The sequence below is a fragment of the Homo sapiens genome, chromosome 17 (assembly GCF_000001405.40).
Source record: "Homo sapiens chromosome 17, GRCh38.p14 Primary Assembly".
Taxonomy (NCBI): Eukaryota; Metazoa; Chordata; class Mammalia; order Primates; family Hominidae; genus Homo; species Homo sapiens.
Window position 1 is genome coordinate 18,358,927 of NC_000017.11, and position 17,766 is coordinate 18,376,692.

A 17,766-nucleotide genomic window follows, 5' to 3' on the forward strand; every position below is an offset into this window, starting at 1 on the left:
AAAAAGGACTTGTTTGAATATAAATCTTCCTAAAGAATTACAGGTTGGGCTGGGCCCAGTGGCTCATGCCTGTAATCCCAGCACTTTGGGAGGCCAAGGCGTGCGGATCATGAGGTCATAAGTTCGAGACCAGCCTGGCCAACATGACTAAAAATACAAAAATTACCCAGGTGTGGTGGCAGGCACCTGTAACCCCAGCTACTTGGGAGGCTGAGGCAGGAGAATCGCTTGAACCCGGGAGGCGGAAGTTGTAGTGAGCCGAGATCACACCACTGCACTCTAGCCTGGGTGACAAAGCAAGACTCTGTCTCCAGGGGAAAAAAAAAAAAGGGCCTGGTATGGTGGCTTATGCCTGTAATCCCAGCACTTAGGGGAGTCAAGGCAGGAGGATCCTTTGAGCCTAGGAGTTCAACCACAGCCTAGGCAACACAGTGAAACCACGTCTCTACAAAAATTTAGAAATTAGGCTGGGCAAGGTGGCTCACATCTGTAATCCCAGCACTTTGGAAGGCTGAGGTGGGCAGATCAACTTGAGGCCAGGAGTTTGAGACCAGCCTGGCTAACATGGTGAAACCCTGTCTATAGCAAAAATATAAAAAATTAATTGGGTGTGGTGGCACACACCTGAGGCATGAGACTTACTTGAGCCTCAGAGGTGGAGGCTGCAGTGAGCCGAGATTGTGCCACTGCACTCCAGTCTGGGTGACAGAGTGAGACTGTGTCTCAATAAAAAAAAAAAGGCCAGGTGCAGTGGTTCACGCCTGTAATCCCAGCACTTTGGGAGGCCAAGGCGGGCAGACCACAAGGTCAGGAAATCAAGACTGTCCTGGCCAACATGGTGAAACCCCATCTCCACTAAAAATACTAAAATTAGCTGGGTGTGGTGGCGCCCGCCTGTAATTCCAGCTACTCAGGAGGCTGAGGCAGAAGAATGGCTTGAACCCAGGAGGCGGAGACTGTAGTGAGCAGAGATCACACCACTGCACCGCAGCCTGGCAACAAAGCAAGACTCTATCTTAAAAAAAAAAAAAAATTATTTGGCCAGGCACAGTGGCTCACACCTGTAACCCCAGCACTTTGGGAGGCCAAGGCGGGCGGATCACCTGAGGTCAGGAGTTCGAGACCAGCCTGGCCAACACAGCGAAACCCCGTCTCTACTAAAAAATACAAAAATTAGATGGGCATAGTGGTGGGCCCCTGTAATACCAGCTATGCGGGAGGCTGAGGTAGGAAAATCGCTTGAACCCAGGAGGTGGAGGTTGCAGTGAGCCGAGATCATACCATTGCACTCCAGCCTGGGTGACAGAGCAAGACTCCATCACAAAAAAAACCAAAAAGAAATACACAAGGCCAGGCATGGTTGCTTACACTTGTAATCCCAGAACTCTGAGAGGCTGAGACGAGAAGATCACTTGAGCCCAGGCGTTCAAGACCAGCCTAGGCAACATGGCAAAACCCTGTCTCTAAAAAAAAATACAAAAAATTACCCGAGCCTGGTGGCGCACGCCTGTATTCTCAGCTACTCTGGGTGGCTGAGGCAGGATGATCACTTGAGTCCCGGAGGTTGAGGCTGCAGTGAGCCCAGATTTTCCCACAGCACTCCAGCCTGGCCAAGAGAACAAGACCCTGTCTCAAAAAAAAAAAAAAGAAAAGAAAAGAAAGAAAGATGCAATAAATGGGTGCAAGGCTACTTTAGACTGGGTCAGGGAACGTCCCGGAGCTGAAATCTGAGCTGTGGAAAGGAGCCAACCATGAAATCTGGGATGAGAGCAATCTACGCAGAGTAAACAAGTGCAGAGCACCCCAAGTTCAAAGGCCAGACAAAGGAGAAAGTGTGACTGGCCAAGGGTCAGAAATCAGGCTTGCACACCTGAAGTCTGGGGAGTCACAGGACCACAAGAGTCAAGACCACCCTGGGCAACATAGGGAGACCCCGTCTCTCTAAAGAAAGAAAAAAAAGCGGTCAGGCGCGGTGGCTGACGCCTGTAATCCCAGCACTTTGGGAGGCCGAGGTGGGTGGATCACTTGAGGTCAGGAGTTTGAGACCAGCCTGGCCAATATGGTGAAACCCCATCTCTACTAAAAATACAAAAATTAGCTGGGCGCAGTGGCTCAATTCCTGTAATCCAAGCACTTTGGGAGGCCAAGGCGGGTGCATCACCCCAGGTCAGGAGTTCGAGACCAGCCTGACCAACACGGTAAAACTCCATCTCTACTAAAAATACAAAAATGAGCTGGGTGTGTGGTGCGCACCTGTAACCCCAGCTACTCAGGAGGCTGAGGCAAGATAATCGCTTGAACCCAGGAGGTTGCAGTGAGCTGAGATCGTGCCACCGCACTCCAGCCTGGACAACAGAGCAAGACTCTGTCTCAAAAAAAAAAAAAAAAACAAAAACAAAAATTAGCCAGGCATGGTGGCATATGCCTGTAATCCCAGCTACTCAGCAGGCTGAGACCAGGAGAATAGCTTGAACCAGTGAGGTAGAGATTGCAGTGGACCGAGATCATGCCACTGCACTCCAGCCTGGGTGACAGAGCTAGACTCCGTTTCAAAAAAAAAAACAAAAAAGAAAAAAGGGGGCTGGGTGCAGTGGCTCACATCTGTAATCCCAGCACTTTGGGAGGCCGAGGCGGGCAGATCACGAGGTCAGGAGATCGAGACCATCCTGGCTAACATGGTGAAACCCCGTCTCTACAAAAATAAAAAAAAATTAGCTGGGCGTGGTGGCGGCGCCTGTAGTCCCAGCTACTCAGGAGGCTGAGGCAGGAGAATGGCGTGAACCCGGGAGGCGGAGCTTGCAGTGAGCCGAGATCGCGCCACTGCTCTCCGGCCTGGGCAACAGAGTGAGACTCCGTCTCAAAAAAAAAAAAAAAGAAAATTGGGAATCTTAGGGACATCTTCATTAACATTCAGTAATACCTGGTAAGTCCCCCAGCCAACACAGCTCACTGCAACATCAGTCATTACAACATTGGATATTTCTGTAGAGGCACTGTTGCTCATGTGTGGCATGATCCTCAACGTCAGGGAAAAAGACCTAGTAAGTGAAGTCACCTGCAAGGTCACCAGCCTCCCCATGCCTCCAAATCTTACCTGGGCCTCTGTCACATAAGAGGATCCAGCCAAGGATCTGCTCAGGGAACTAACTTGTTGCACATCTTCTATCTCACACACATTTTGTGTTCTCTTCTTTACAGAAGAGGAAATTGAGGCCCAGGGAGCTAACTTGTCTAAAGCCATATAAGAGCCAGAATCTGAACAATGGTTTCTCTTCAGTTCCAAGGCCTTGTCCCAGGACATTGCACTAAATAAAAACACAATTACCCACTTCCGTTCCAAGTTCCCCCAAGTAATAAATTTACGTTATTTCTTTTCTTTTTTTTCTTTTCTTTCTCTCTCTTTCTTTCTTTTGAGATAGAGTCTCACTCTGTCACTCAGGCTGGAGTGCAGTGGCGTGATCTCCGCTCACTGCAACCTCCACCTCCCGGGTTCAAGCGATTCTCCTGCCTCAGCCTTCCGAGTAGCTGGGATTATAGGTGTGTGCCACCATGGGCAGCCAGGTTTTTTTGTATTTTTAGTACAGACGGGGTTTCACCATGTTGGCCAGGCTGGTCTCCAACTACTAACCTCAAGTGATCCGCCCACCTCGGCCTCCCAAAATGCTGGGATTACAGGCATGAGCCACCGCGCCCGGCCTACAATGTTATTTCTGCAAGAACCTAAACTGGTGTTTCCAGTCTATTCTCTGGGTAACTGCCCGATTGAAGGCCCGCATCTGTGCTGACCTCAGCTGGACCAAGGGTCACTTAACTCCCGGAATCTCGAAGCCAAGGCACCGGGCCAAGAACTTCACAGTGCAACATTTGTCTCCTAGAACAGGGGGTGGCAGATTGCGGGCAACAGGAAGAGCTCATTCCCCACAGGGATCTGGTGGCACGGGCCAAAAGTGGAGCGACCCTGCGCGCAGCCTTTAGGGGCGCAGGCTTTGAGAACCCGGGTTCTATTCCGGGCTCTGCCATTTAAGTTGCCTCCTTTCTCAGGGCCCCACCACCTTCCTCACCTGTAAAATGGGGGAAACAGTAGCACTTGACTTGCAGCTTTGTTGTGAAGGAGCTAGGATTGTTTAAATCGAAAATGCTCAACGAGAAAAGTGTTCAGTGGAGAGCTACTACTCACATCCCCGATAAGCCTTCGCATTCTTGCCAAAGGCCACGGGCCGCCACCCCATCATACCGAATGTGCCTGGAACTGGGGCGCTGCGGCTGGCCGCCGCCCGATCCCCAGCCCAGGCGCGACCCAAGCGCTCCCCTCCCGTCATTGCGGCTGCAGAGGGTGGGGTACGGCGGGGGACAGCGAGGACGCCGAAGCACCCCCCGGGCTCTGGGACGCCGCGGCCCTCGGACCCGAAGCCGCCCACCTACCGGAACACGGCCCGCGCACGTACCTAGCGACGCCTCCGTCCTACGCCGCCGCCGGTGCCACCAGTCCCAGACCCGCTGACCCAACGCCCCGCGCACCGCCGCGGGCCAGCCACGTGACCAGCCGCTCCAACCCCAAACCCCGAACTTGGCGCTGGACCGCTCGAGCTCAGGAAGGTGCACTCTGCGCGCCAGGCTTGGGCTTGGCCCCGCCCCCGGAGGCGCCCAATCAGAGAGCGCAGCCAAGCATGGGCCGCCACCAAACGCACCCGCGCTATTGGCTGCGGCGCAGCGGCGGGCAGGGCCTGTTTCTCCGGGGCGGGCCGGAGGCCGCGTAGTGCAGCTGCGCACCTGGGGCAGGGACCTGCAGAACTGACCCGCTTTGGCTGCAGGGCTGGTGTGTGGACCAAGATTTCCAGGAAGACTACACAGGGCCTTCCTCACTTAAGCCTGTCGCTTGGGCCGTGGGATTATGAGTGAATTTTGTTCATGGTACTACTTTTAGTTTGCAGGGTGGTCATTTAAAGTAGGACAAATGTGCGTCCAAACTGCAACATTATTACTCTGTAGGTGTATAATCCAAGAGCAGACACTTTATTATTATTATTTTTGTTATTTTTTATTTTTATTTTTTTGAGACAGGGTCTCACTCTGTCCCCCAGGTTGAAGTAGAGATGGGGGTCTAACTATGTTGCCTCCCAGGAGGCGGAGGTTGCAGTGAGTCGAGATCGCGCCACTGCACTCCAGCCTGGGGGACGGAGCGAGACAACGTCTCAAGAAGAATAAAATAAGATAAATAAAATACTGACACACAATAAGGACTCAATGAACATTACCTATTGTTAAGAATGATAAAAACCGGGGCCACATGTCAGGACCACCTGAGGCTGCGTCATAAATTTTTTTATTTGTCAAATGATAACAATAATTATTATAAGAATGATAAAAACCGGGCGCAGTGGCTCACCCCTGTAATTCCAGCACTTTGGGAGGCCGAGGCAGATGGCTTGAGCCTAGGAGTTCAAGACCAGCCTGGGCAAAATGGTGAAACCTTGTCTCTACAAATAATTTTAAAATTAGCTGGGTGTGGTGGCAGTCGCCTGTAGTCCCAGCTACTTGGGGGGCTGAATGGGAGGATCACTTGAGCCTGGGAGGCAGAGGTTGCAGTAAGCAATGATCTTGCCTCTGTACTCCAGCCTGGGCAACAGAGTGAGACCCTCATCATCTCGAAAAACAAACAAACAAAAAATACAAAAAAAACTTTTTTTTTTTTTTGAGACAGAGTCTTGCTCTGTCGCCCAGGCTGGAGTGCAGTGGCGCGATCTCGGCTCACTGCAAGCTCCACCTCCCGGGTTCACGTCATTCTCCTGCTTCAGCCTCCTGAGTAGCTGGGACTACAGGCCTCCGCCACCACGCCTGGCTAATTTTTTTTTATTTTTGAGACGGAGTCTCCCTCTCTTGCCCAGGCTGGAGTGCTGTGGCGCGATCTAGGCCCACTGCGAGCTCTGCCTCCTGGGTTCATGCCATTCTCCTGCCTCAGCCTCCCGAGTAGCTGGGACTACAGGAGCCCACCACCACGCCTGGCTAATTTTTTGTATTTTCAGTAGAGACAGGGTTTCACCATGTTAGCCAGGATGGTCTTGATCTCCTGACCTTGTGATCCACCTGCCTCAGCCTGCCAAAGTGCTAGGATTACAGGCGTGAGCCACCACACCCGGCTAATTTTTGTATGTTTAGTAGAGATAGGGTTTCACCATATTGGCTAGGCTGGTCTTGAACTCCTGATCTCAAGTGATCCATCCTCCTCGGCCTCCCAAAGTGCTGGGATAACAGGCAAGAGCCACTGCGCCTGGCCAACATAGTGAGTGTTTTTGTTTTTTGTTTTTGTTTTATTTATTTATTTATTTGAGATGGAGTCTCGCTCTGTCACCCAGGCTGGAGTGCAGTGATGCGATCTTGGCTCCCTGCAACCTCTGCCTCTCTGGTTCAAGCAATTCTCCTGCATCGGCTTCCCGAGTAGCTGGGACTACAGGCGTGCACCACCATGCCCAGCTAATTGTTCTTTTTGTTTGTTTGTTTGAGACGGAGTCTCGCTCTGTCGCCCAGGCATGAGTGCAGTGGCTCGATCTTCGCTCACTGCAATCTCCACCTCCCAGGTTCACGCCGTTCTCCTGCCTCAGCCTCCCGAGTAGCTGGGACTACAGGCGCCCGCCACCATGTCCGGCTAATTTTTTATATTTTTAGTAGAGACAGGGTTTCACTGTGTTAGCCAGGATGGTCTTGATCTCCTGACCTCTGATCCGCCTGCCTCGGCCTCCCAAAGTGCTGGGATTACAGGCATGAGCCACCGCGCCCGGCCGTGCACAGCTAATTTTTGTATTTTTCTCACAGACAGGGATTCGCCATGTCAGCCAGGCTGGTCTCGAACTCCTGACCTCACGTGATTCACCTGCCTCGGCTTCCCAAAGTGCTGGGATTACAGGCACAAGCCACCGCGCCCGGCCTGTTGTTTGTTTTTTTGAGACGGAGCCTCTCTCTGTTGCCCAGGCTGAGGTGCAATAGTGTGATCTCGGCTCACTGCAGCTTCCGCCTCCCGGGTTCAAGCAGTTCTCCCACCTCAGCCTCCCAAGTAGCTGCGACTACAGGCGTGCGCCACTACGCCCTGCTAATTTTTGTATTTTTAGTAGAGACGAGGTTTCACTATGTTGGTCAGGCTGGTCTCGAACTCTTGACCTCAGATGATCTGCTCGCTTCAGCCTCCCAAAGTGGTGGGATTACAGGCATAAGCCACTGTGCCCAACCCGTGAGTTTTTTAATATCCAAAGTAAGATTTCTGGGTCAAGCTTTTAGTAAATATTGCCATATTGCTTTCTACAAGCATTGTAACAATTCACACTCCCAGCAACAATTTAGGGAAATACCCATTTCCCATTTCTTCTCCAGCACTGAATGCTTCATTTTTTATTTTTTTATTTTTTTTAGATAGAGTCTCTGTTGCCCAGGCTGGAGTGCAGTGGCGTGATCTTGGCTCACTGCAATCTCTGCTTCCTGGGTTCAAGTGATTCTCCTTCTTCAGCCTCTCGAGTAGCTGGGGTTACGGGCATGCACCATGACACCTGGCTTTTTTTTTTTTTTTTTTTTTTTTTTTGTATTTTTAGTAGAGACGGGGTTTTGCCATGTTGGCCAGGCTGGTCTCAAACTCCTGACCTCAAGTGATCCACCTGCCTCAGCTTCCCAAACTGCTGGGATTACAGGCATGAGCTACTGTGCCCGGCCTACTGATACTTAAATTTTTTTTTTTTTTTTTTTGTTTTTTGAGATGGAGTCTTGCTCTGTCTCCAGGCTGGAGTGCAGTGGCACAATCTTGGCTCACTGCAACCTCTGCCTCCCAGGTTCAAGCAATTCTCCTGCTTCAGCCTCCTGAGTAGCTGGGACTACAGGCACCCACCACCACGTCTGGCTAATTTTTGTATTTTTAGTAGAGATGAGGTTTCACCATTTTGGCCAGGATGGTCTCGATCTCCTGACCTCATGATCCACACGCCTTGGCCTCCCAAAGTGCTGGGATTACAGGCGTGAGCCACCGCGCCCAGCTAAAAAATATTTTATTTGTGGCTGGGCATGGTGACTCAGGCTCACACCTGTAATCTTAGAACTTTGGGAGGCTGAGGTAGGAGGATTGCTTGAGGCCAGGAGTTCAAGAGTAGCCTGGGCAACATAGCAAGATCCCATCTCTATGAAAAATTAAAATTAAAAAAATTATGACATTTTGTGCTACATGATGAAAAAAATTAAAAAGAAAGAAAGAAAATTGGCCAGGTGTGGAAGTGCACACCTGTATTCCCAACTAGTCAGGGTGCTGAGTGGGGAGGATCTCCTGAGCCCAGGAGTTCAAGGCTGCAGTGAGCTGTGATCGTGCCACTGCTCTCCAGCCTAAGATACGGGAAAAACCAAAGCGTTTTTCTTTTCTTTTTTTTCTGCTGTCATCGTATGAAATAGTCTATAGGTTTCCATTATATCCAGTTACAGAGGGTGTTACTGAGTTACAGATTTTCTGCCTGCTGGATCTGTCCGTTTCTGATAGAGGGACATTGAAGTCGCCAACTATAATAGTTTCTCCTTGCAGCGCTGTCACTTTTTCAGTCACATATTTTGATGTTCTGTTGTCAGGATCATACATGTTAAGGACTGTTATGTCTTCTTTGAGCATTGACTCCTTAATCATTATGTAATGACCTGTCCTTATCCCTCACAACTTTCTTTTCTTTCCCTTCCTTCCTTCCTTCCTTTTTCTTTTTCTTTTCTTTTCTTTCTTTTTTTTTTTTTTTTTGAGACAGAGTCTCTGTCAACCAGGCTGGAGTACAGTGGCATGATCTCAGCTTACTGCAGCCTCTGCCTCCCAGGCTCAAGTGAGTCTCGTGCCTCAGCCTGAGGAGTAGCTGGGATTACAGTCGAGTGCAACCATGCCCAGCTAATTTTTGTATTTTTAGTAAAGACAGGGTTTTGTCATGTTGGCCAGGCTTGTCTTGAATTCCTGGCCTCAAGTGATCTGCCCGCCTTGGCTTCCCAAAGTGCTGGGAAGCCACCCAGCACCTGTCCTGTTCCTGATGACTTTCCTTGCCCTGAAGCCTGTACTGTCTGAAATTAATATAGGGACTCCTGCTTCCTTTTGATTAGTGTTGGCATAGTAGATCTTTCTTTATCCATTTACTTTTAATATATACATCTTTAAAGTGTAGTTCTTACAAGGAGCATATAGTTGCATCTTGTTTTTTGCTGTACTCTGACAATCTCTCTCTTTTTTTCTTTTTTTTTTTTGAGATGGAGTCTTGCTCTGTTGCCCAGGCTGGAGCGCAGTGGCACGATCTCAGCTCACTGCAACCTCTGCCTCCTGGGTTCACGCCTTTCTCCTGCCTCACCCTCCCAAGTAGCTGGGACTACAGGCGCCCGCCACCACGCCCAGCTAATATTTTGTATTTTTAGTAGAGACAGGGTTTCACCATGTTAGACAGGATGGTCTCAATCTCCTGACCTCGTGATCCGCCCACCTTGGCCTCCCAAAGTGCTGGGATTACAGGCGTGAGCCACTTCGCCCAGCCCAATCTCTCTCTTTTAATCGGTTAATTTGGACCATTGATATGCAAAGGAATTGTTGATATAATTGGATTAATATCTGCCTTTTTTTTTTTACTGTTTTCTAATTGTTGCTTTTGTTTCTTTGTATTTTTGTCTTCCATTCTTTTTCTGCCTCTTGTAGTGTTTTGTCTTTGTGTTTTTCTTTCTTTTTTTTTTCTTTTGAGACAAAGTCTTGCTCTGTCACCCAGGCTGGAGTGCAGTGGCACAATCATGGTTTATCGCAGCCTCAAGCTGCTGGGCTCAAGCAATCCTACCATCTTGGCCTCCCGAGTAGCTGGGACCACAGGTATGCACCACCGTGCCTGGCTAATTTTTTTTAATTTAATTTTTTGTAGAGACAGAGTCTACGATGTTGCCCAGGCTGGTCTCAAACTCCTGGGCTCAAGTGATCCTTCTGCCTCAGCCTCTCAAGTAGCTGGGACTACAGTCACATACCACCACGCCTGGCTAATTTTTTATTTTCTGTAGAGATAGAGATGGGATTTTGCAATGTTGCTCAGGCTGGTCTCAAGCTCCTGGCCTCAAGCAATCCTCCCGTCTCAGCCTCCCAAAGCACTGGGATTACAGGCATGAACCACTATGCCCAGCCATAAATAAAATATGTTTTAGAGTGTCTGTGTCCACTGATAAGGGCGTAGTCATTTCTTCCCTCGCCGGCTCCTGTAAGTGCTGAGGATTCCACTGCACTGACCCCGGTTGTGCCCTCGGGGAATGTTGAGTCCTAGCAGATGTTAAACAACATATGACACACCTAAGCATTTCACTGGACTTACACTACACAGGTGGCTGTTAGTTTGATTTTCTTTCTTTCTTTTTTTCTTTTTGAGAAAGTCTCGATCTGTCACCCGGGCTGGAGTGCAGTGGCACGATCTCGGCTCACTGTAACCCCTGCCCCCCCAGGTTCAAGCAATTATCATGCCTCAGCCTCCCGAGTAGCTGGGATTACAGGCGCCCACCACCACGCCCGGCTAATTTTTTTGTATTTTTAGTAGAGACGGGGTTTCACCATGTTGGCCAGGCTGGTCTTGAACTCCTGACCTCATGATCCACCTGCCTCAGCCTCCCAAAGTGCTGGGATTACAGGCGTGAGCCACCGTGCCTGGCCAATTTTCTTCTGACTTTATGTCTCTCACCCCTGCCTCTCAGAGCAAAAGGTTTTCTGCTTACCTTTGCTGCCCATGAGCTTTGGGCTGCTGGGATAAAAGAAGGCGCCACTGAAAAGGAAAGTTTTCCTGCTCTTATAAAAATTCTAATATAACCCACTTAAGGTGAAGAGGTTGATGATGATGAGAGTAAGGAGAGCAGGCAAAGCTTTCTCAGGATGGAGAGAAGATGGGGTACCAGGATTAGATTCTCAACCTATTAGGAAAAAAAACCCCAAAAAACCAGTGATTTATAAAATAGAAGAGTTTATTTCTCTCTCCCATAACACAATCTGGGGGTAGACACTCCAAGACTGGTCTTGGACCTTGACCTTCCTCCCATCAAAAGGTAGACTCCAATGCCACACTCGGTAAGGGCTGGTTTGGTGACAGGCTCCTAAGACATGGAATGAGGCTGGTGGGCACAGTGGTTCATGCCTGTAATCCCAGCACTTTGGGAGGCCGAGGCAGGCAGATCACTTGAGGTCAGGAGTTCAAAACCAGCCTGGCCAACAAGGTGAAACCCTGTCTCTACCAAAAATACAAAAATTAGCCAGGTGTGGTGGCACACGGCTGTAGTCCTAGCTACTCAGGAGGCTGAGGCAGAAGAATTGCTTGAACCCAGGAGGCAGAGGTTGCAGTAAGCTGAGATCGTGCCACTGCACTCCAGCCTGGGCAACAGAGTGAGACCCTGTCTCAAACAGACAAACAAACATCAAACAAACACAAAGAAATGGAATGCGGCCGGGTGTGATGGCGCACGCCTGTAATCCCAGGAGGCTGAGGCATGTGTATCCTTTGTGCTCAGGACTTTGAGACCAGCCTGGGCAACATGGTGAGACCCTGTCTCTACAAAAAATACAAAAATCAGCCAGGCATGATGGAGCATGCCTACATTTTCAGCTACTTGGGAGGCTGAGGTGGGAGGACCTCTTGAATCTGGGAAGTTGAGGCTGCAGTGAGCCAAGATTGCACCCCTGCATTTCAGCCTGGGCAACAGAGTGAGACCCTGCCTTTTAAAATAAATTTTAAAATAAAAAAATTTTAAATAAAGAAACAAGGAAGTTGATTTTTATACACTGTGTAAGATAAGGATCCAATTTCTTCTGCATGTGGGTATACAATTTTACCAATACTGTTGATTAAAGTGGCTGTTTTTTTCCCTCTTTGTACCTGAAGAGACTGTCCTTGTCCCCTTTGTCAGAAATCAGTTGGCCATAATTGTGTGGGTTTATTTCTGGGAGAGTGAGACCCTGTCTTGAAAGAAAGAGAGAAAGAGAAAGGAAAAAAGGAAAGAAAGAAAGAGAAAGACAGGAAGAAAGGAAGGAAGGAAGGAGAAGGGGAAGGAAGGAAGGATAAGGGGAAGGAAGGAAAAGGAAGGAAGGGAGGGAGGGAGGGAGGGAGCCGGGCGCGGTGGCTGATGCCTGTAATCCCAGCACTTTGAGAGTCCGAGGTGGGCAGATCATGAGGTCAGGAGTTTGAGACCAGCCTGACCAATATGGTGAAACCTCGTCTCTACTGAAAATACAAAAATTAGCTGGGCGTCGTGGTGCATGCCTGTAATCCCATGTACTCAGGAGACTGAGACAGGAGAATCGTTTGAACCCAGGAGGCGGAGGTTGCAGTGAGCCGAGATCATGCCATTGCACTCCAGCCTGGGCAACAGAGTGAGACTCCATCTCAAAAAAGAGACAGAGAGAGAAAGGAAGAAGGAGGAGGAGGAGGAGGAGAAAGAAGAGAAGAGAAAAGGAAAAGAAAGAAATGGAATGCAACAGAAGTGACACTGTGTGAACTTCAAGGCTAGGTCATGAGCAGTGTCCACTCTCTCTGGAAAACTCACTCTTGGAACCCTGCCACCATCCTGTGAGGAGGGCCAGTCCACACACAGAGGCTACCTGAAAGCCCCACTGAGGTCTCAGCTGACAGACAGCACCGGCCATCAGACATGGGAGTGGTCTTCACCTGTGGTCTCCGTCTCCACCCTCCATCTGACAGTAACCACAAGAAAGACCCAAGGCAAACACCATTTAGCTGAGCCGAGGCAATCACCAGAACCAAGAGACATAATAAACAATTAATGATAGTTTCATACCATGTTATGACTCAGCGACATTTCTAAAGAAAAAAAAATCCGTTAAGTTTGGGGTGGTTCATTAAGCGTCAACAGATAACACATGTGTTCTACCCTGTCTCCCAGAATTCCTCGACAGGATTAAGACCCAGTTACCTGTAGCAGTAATTTACTTGATAACAATGCTGTTGGTGACTATTTTCCCCATCCTACTCCCTTGTCACTGTTTCTCAAGATCATCTCCCAAGGCCACAGGCAGTGGCTCACGCCTGTAATCCCAGCACTTTGGGAGGCCAAGGTGGGTGGATCACCTGAGGCCAGGAGTTGGAGACCAGCTTGGTCAACATGGTAAGACCCTGTCTCTATTAAAAATACAAAAATTAGCCAAACGTGGTGGTGCGTGCCTGTAATCCCAACTACTTAAGAGGCTGAGGCAGGAGAATCTCTTAAATTCAGGAGGCAGAGGTTACAGTGAGCCGAGATCGCACCACTGCACTCCAGCCTGGGTGACAGAGTGAGACTCCTCAAAAACAAAACAAAACAAACAAACAAAAAAGATCATCTCCCAAATAAACTACTTGTATCAAATTACTAATTCAGGGTATGCCACTGGAGAACCCACTTAAAAGCAGTGTGATAATTAAGAGCAGGAACTCAGTGGCCAAGGTGAGTCAGTTCAGAACCCAATTCTAACATACATTAGCTATTGATGGTGGTAAGTTGCTTAATGTCCCTCCATTTCAGTTTGCTCATGTGTAAAATATGAATAAATGGACCTACCTCACTGGGTTCTTGTAAGTTTGAATGAATTAACATGTGTAAAGTGTTTAAAACAGTTCCAGACACATAGCAGAGTAAATGTGTTCTGTAAATATACAAACAAACAAACCTGTTTTAAATAATAAAGATAATTTATTGCCTCAGGTAACTGGAAAATTCTAGTTGTTATCACTGGAATTCAGGAATTGCTTGATCAGGGCTTCGACTCCATTTTGGAACTGTTCTTTCAACTCTGCCCTCCCCCATGGGTTGGCTTCATACTTGGACTGGATTCTTTGTGGTAAGAAAAAGTAGGGGCTGGGTGTGCACAGTGGCTCACACCTGTAATCCCAGCACTTTGGGAGGCAGAGACAGGTGGATCACCTAAGGTCAGAAGTTCGAGACTAGCTTGACCAACATGGTGAAACCCCATCTCTACTAAATATACAAAAATTAGCCAGTGTGGTGGCAGATGCCTGTAATCACAGCTACTCAGGAGGCTGAGGCAGGAGAATTACTTAAACCCAGGAGGCAGAGGTTGCAGTGAGCCAAGATTGTACCATTGCACTCCAGCCTGGGTGACAAGAGCAAGACTCCATTTCAAAAAAAAAAGAAAGAAAAAGTAGGGGCAGGGCTGGCCTCGTTGCTCATGCCTGTAATCCCAGCACTTTGGAAGGTTGAGGTGGGCAGATCACGTGAGATCAGGAGTTCGAGACCAGCATGGCCAAGATGGCAAAAACCTGTTTCTACTAAAAACACAAAAATTAGCTGGGCAGTGGCTGGTGTCTGTAATCCCAGCTACTTGGGAGGCCCAGGCAGGAGAATTGCTTGAACCTAGAAGGTGGTGACTGCAGTGAGCCGAGATAGCACCACTGCACTCCAACATGGGCAACAGATACTCCATCTCAAAAAAAAAAAAAAAAAAAAAGGCCGGGCGTGGTGAGTCATGCCTGTAATCTCAGCACTTTGGGAGACAGAGGTGGGTGGATCATTTGAGGTCAGGAGTTTGAAACCAACCTGGCCAACATGGTGAATCCCCATCTCTACTAAAAAATACAAAAATTGGCCGGGTGCTGTGGCTCATGCCTGTAATCCCAGCACTTTGGAAGGCCGAGGTGGGCGGATCACGAGGTCAGGAGATTGAGACTATCCTGTCTAACACGGTGAAACCCCGTCTCTACTAAAAATACAAAAAATTAGCCGGGCATGGTGGCGGGCGCCTGTAGTCCCAGCTACTTGGGAGGCTGAGGCAGGAGAATGATGTGAACCCGGGAGGTGGAGCTTGCAGTGAGCCGAGATTGCGCCACTGCACTCCAGCCTGGGAGACAGAGTGAGACTCCATCTCACAAAAAAAAAAAAAAAAAAAAAAAAAAAAAAAAATTCTTAAAAGCTCAATAAGGAGATAACAAAAAAACAAACCTTAAAAAATTCATGTGGTAGTTGAATAATTGCCTCCCAAAGATGTCCACCCAATAATGGCCTCCCAAAGATGTTCCTAATCCCCGGAACCTGTGAATGAATATGTTACTTATATGGCAAAAGGGGTTGTGCAGATGTGATTCAATTACAGATCTTAAAATAAGGGGAATATCCTGGATAATTCAGGTGGGCTCAATGTTAAGAACAGGATTCCTGAACAGATGAAGAAGAAGGAGAAGAGTCAGGGGGGAGATGGGATGATGGAACTGCAGATTAGAGTGATACGATAGCTGGTCTTGAAGGCTGAGGACGTCACCACAAGCCAGACAGTATAAGTGGCCTCTAAAGGCTGGAAAAGGCAAAGAAATGATTTCCTCTAGAGCTTCAAAATGAATGCAGTCCTACCGACACCTTCGTTTTAGCCCAGTGAAACTCGTTTTGCACTTCCAATCACCAGAATGATAAAATGATAATTTGTGTTGTTTGTGTGTGTGTTTTGTTTGTTGGTTTTGAGACAAAATCTCAGTCTGTCGCCTAGCTGGAATGCAGTGGTATGATCATGACTCACTGCGGCCTCAACCCCCGAGGCTCAGACGATCTTCCCACCTCAGCCTCCTAAGTAGCTGAGATTACAGGTAGGTACCACCATGCCCAGGTAATTTTGAAAATTTTTTGTGGAGATGGGGTCTTGCTATGTTGCCCAGACTGGTCTTGAACTTCTGGACTCAAGTGATCCTCCCACCTCAGCCTCGTTTGTGTTTTAAAGATTAGGCCGGGTGCGGTGGCTCACACCAGTAATCCCAGCACTTTGGGAGGCTGAGGTGGGTGGATCACTTGAGGTCAAGAGTTAAAGACCAGCCTGGCCAACATGGTGAAACCCCGTCTCTACTAAAATACAAAAAACACTTTGGGAAGCTGAGGTGGGTGGATTACCTGAGGTCAGGAGTTCAAGACCAGCCTGGCCAACACAGTGAAACCTCATCTCTATTAAAAATACAAAAATTAGCCAGGTGTGGTGGCATGCGCCTGTAGTCCCAGCTACTCGGGAGACTGAGGCAGGAGAACCCATGAGGCAGAGGTTGCAGTGAGCCGAGATGGTGCCACTGCACTCAACCTGGGCCACAGAGCGAGACTCTGTCTCCAAAAAAAAAAAAAAAAAAGATTATAAAGATTATTTTAATTTTTTACATCGACTAAATTTAACACCTGTTACACAAAATATACAACACAATATATTGGAGTGTTTTATAAAATAAGTATAATTGTTAGAATGGCATTCCAGTTCACAATACCCTACAGGTGTGGTGATCCAGCAACAGAATACTACCTCAATTGGAATGACTGCTGTAACCTCTTTCATTAACATGAAGCCTAGCCAAATAATCCGACTTCCCTCTCCTCTACTTCACACCCCAGGCTCCATGACCCACTGTATACATTTCCTATTGCTGTTGTAACAAATTACCATGAACTTGGTGGCTTAAAATAATGCAGTTTTCATTACTTACAGTTTTTGATGTCAGAAATCGGAAATGGGTCTCACTGGACTAAAATCGAGGTGTAAGCTAGGCAGCATTTATTCTGGAGGCTCTAGGGAAGAATCCTTTCTTTTTCTTTTTTTTTTGCCTATTACAGCTTCTAGAGGCCACCAGCATTCCTTGGCTTGTGGGCCCTTCCTCCCTGTTCAGACTCAGCAAAGGCAAGTATTGTCCTCCTCATGTTGTCTCGCTCTGACTTCCTCTTCTCCCTCTCCCTTCCTCTCCCCAGGGCCCCACTTCCAATGACTGCCACCTCCCAGGGAGGGGCCAAGCTCAAAGGTGAAGCAGCCGGGCTCGGTGGCTGACGCCTGTAATCCCAGCTCTTTGGGAGGCTGAGGTGGGCGAATCTCCTGAGGTCAGGAGTTCGAGACCAGCCTGGCCAACATGCTGAAACCCCATCTATACTAAAAATACAAAAATTAACTGGGTGTGGTGGTGTGCACCTGTAGTCCCAGCTACTCAGGAGGCTGAGACAGGAGAATTGCTTGAACCTGGGAGGCAGGGGTTACAGTGAGCTGAGTTGGTGCCACTGCACTCCAGCCTGGGAGACAGAGCGAGACTCTGTCTCAAAAAAAAAAAAAAAAAAGAAAAGAAAAGGTGAGTCAGGGAGGCCAGGGGTGAGGCTGGCGTTGGCCCCCATAGTCATTCACACAAACGGCTCCTTTCTGAAGACAGTTGATTGCAGGCGTACAATGAGTGGTTAGAAGACAAGTGTCACCAGGAATAAAGTGGGAGCAGGCTGGGGCAGAGGCTGAGTGGCCAGTCATCTCTATTGGCATCTCACTCAAGACATGGGCCGGGAGCTGAGGACACTGGAGACCACTTTGTTTCCTCATTGCTGTCAGGGGCCTCTGCTGCCCTCCCCACCCCCACTGCCCCTGTCAGCTCCTCCACCTCTAGGAATGGGGGTTTACTGCATCCCCTCTCCATGGCCGAGTTCAGGAGCTTCCCATGAGATTCACCCAAAAAGGGCACAGGCCTTTTCTATCCCATGGGGGCCTGAGGCCAGTATCAGGTGTCGGTCCCTGGTCTCCCCCATCTGCTGGGACCTTTCTCTCCTGCCAGGCTGTTTTGTCCTCAGCGAGGCCTGCCAGGATGACCAGGTGATGTCACCCAGTCCGCCTGTTCCATCCCCTGGCTCCCCCTCAAGCCCTCCTTCCACTAAAACCACGGGGATTTCAGGAATGACCTGGAAAGCGACGCCACCTCTGCAGAAGGGGCCTGTTACGCTGGGCCAGTAAAATGAGCGCCTGGAAAGGGGGGTCCCATCGCCCCTTTCTTG

General features: G+C 48.9%; 1 protein-coding gene across 9 annotated transcripts in view, besides 2 other annotated features; it reads right to left on the reverse strand.

Moving 5' to 3' along the window:
* Positions 1–4,624, reverse strand: part of SHMT1 (serine hydroxymethyltransferase 1) — a 35,678-nt gene extending 31,054 nt beyond the window's left edge. For 4 of the 9 annotated variants that reach the window (NM_001281786.2, XM_011523992.4, NM_148918.3 and 1 more), the window contains exon 1: positions 4,446–4,624. The gene's annotated coding sequence lies outside the window, so the exon portion shown is untranslated. Of the gene's footprint in view, positions 1–1,487; positions 1,627–4,422 lie in introns of all 9 variants that reach the window. The other 5 variants (XM_024450887.2, XM_017024958.2, XM_005256767.4 and 2 more) reach the window with 2 other exon arrangements.
* Positions 4,249–4,718: a silencer, noted in NCBI's record as "silent region_8276". NCBI's record gives its function as "represses an Ori minimal core promoter by ATAC-STARR-seq in GM12878 lymphoblastoid cells {active_cell/tissue: GM12878}" and the evidence as "EXISTENCE:reporter gene assay evidence [ECO:0000049][PMID:35858748]".
* Positions 14,429–14,929: an enhancer, noted in NCBI's record as "H3K4me1 hESC enhancer chr17:18276669-18277169 (GRCh37/hg19 assembly coordinates)". NCBI's record gives its function as "activates a minimal SCP1, AML or CMV promoter by ChIP-STARR-seq in naive H9 embryonic stem cells {active_cell/tissue: H9 hESC(naive)}" and the evidence as "EXISTENCE:reporter gene assay evidence [ECO:0000049][PMID:30033119]".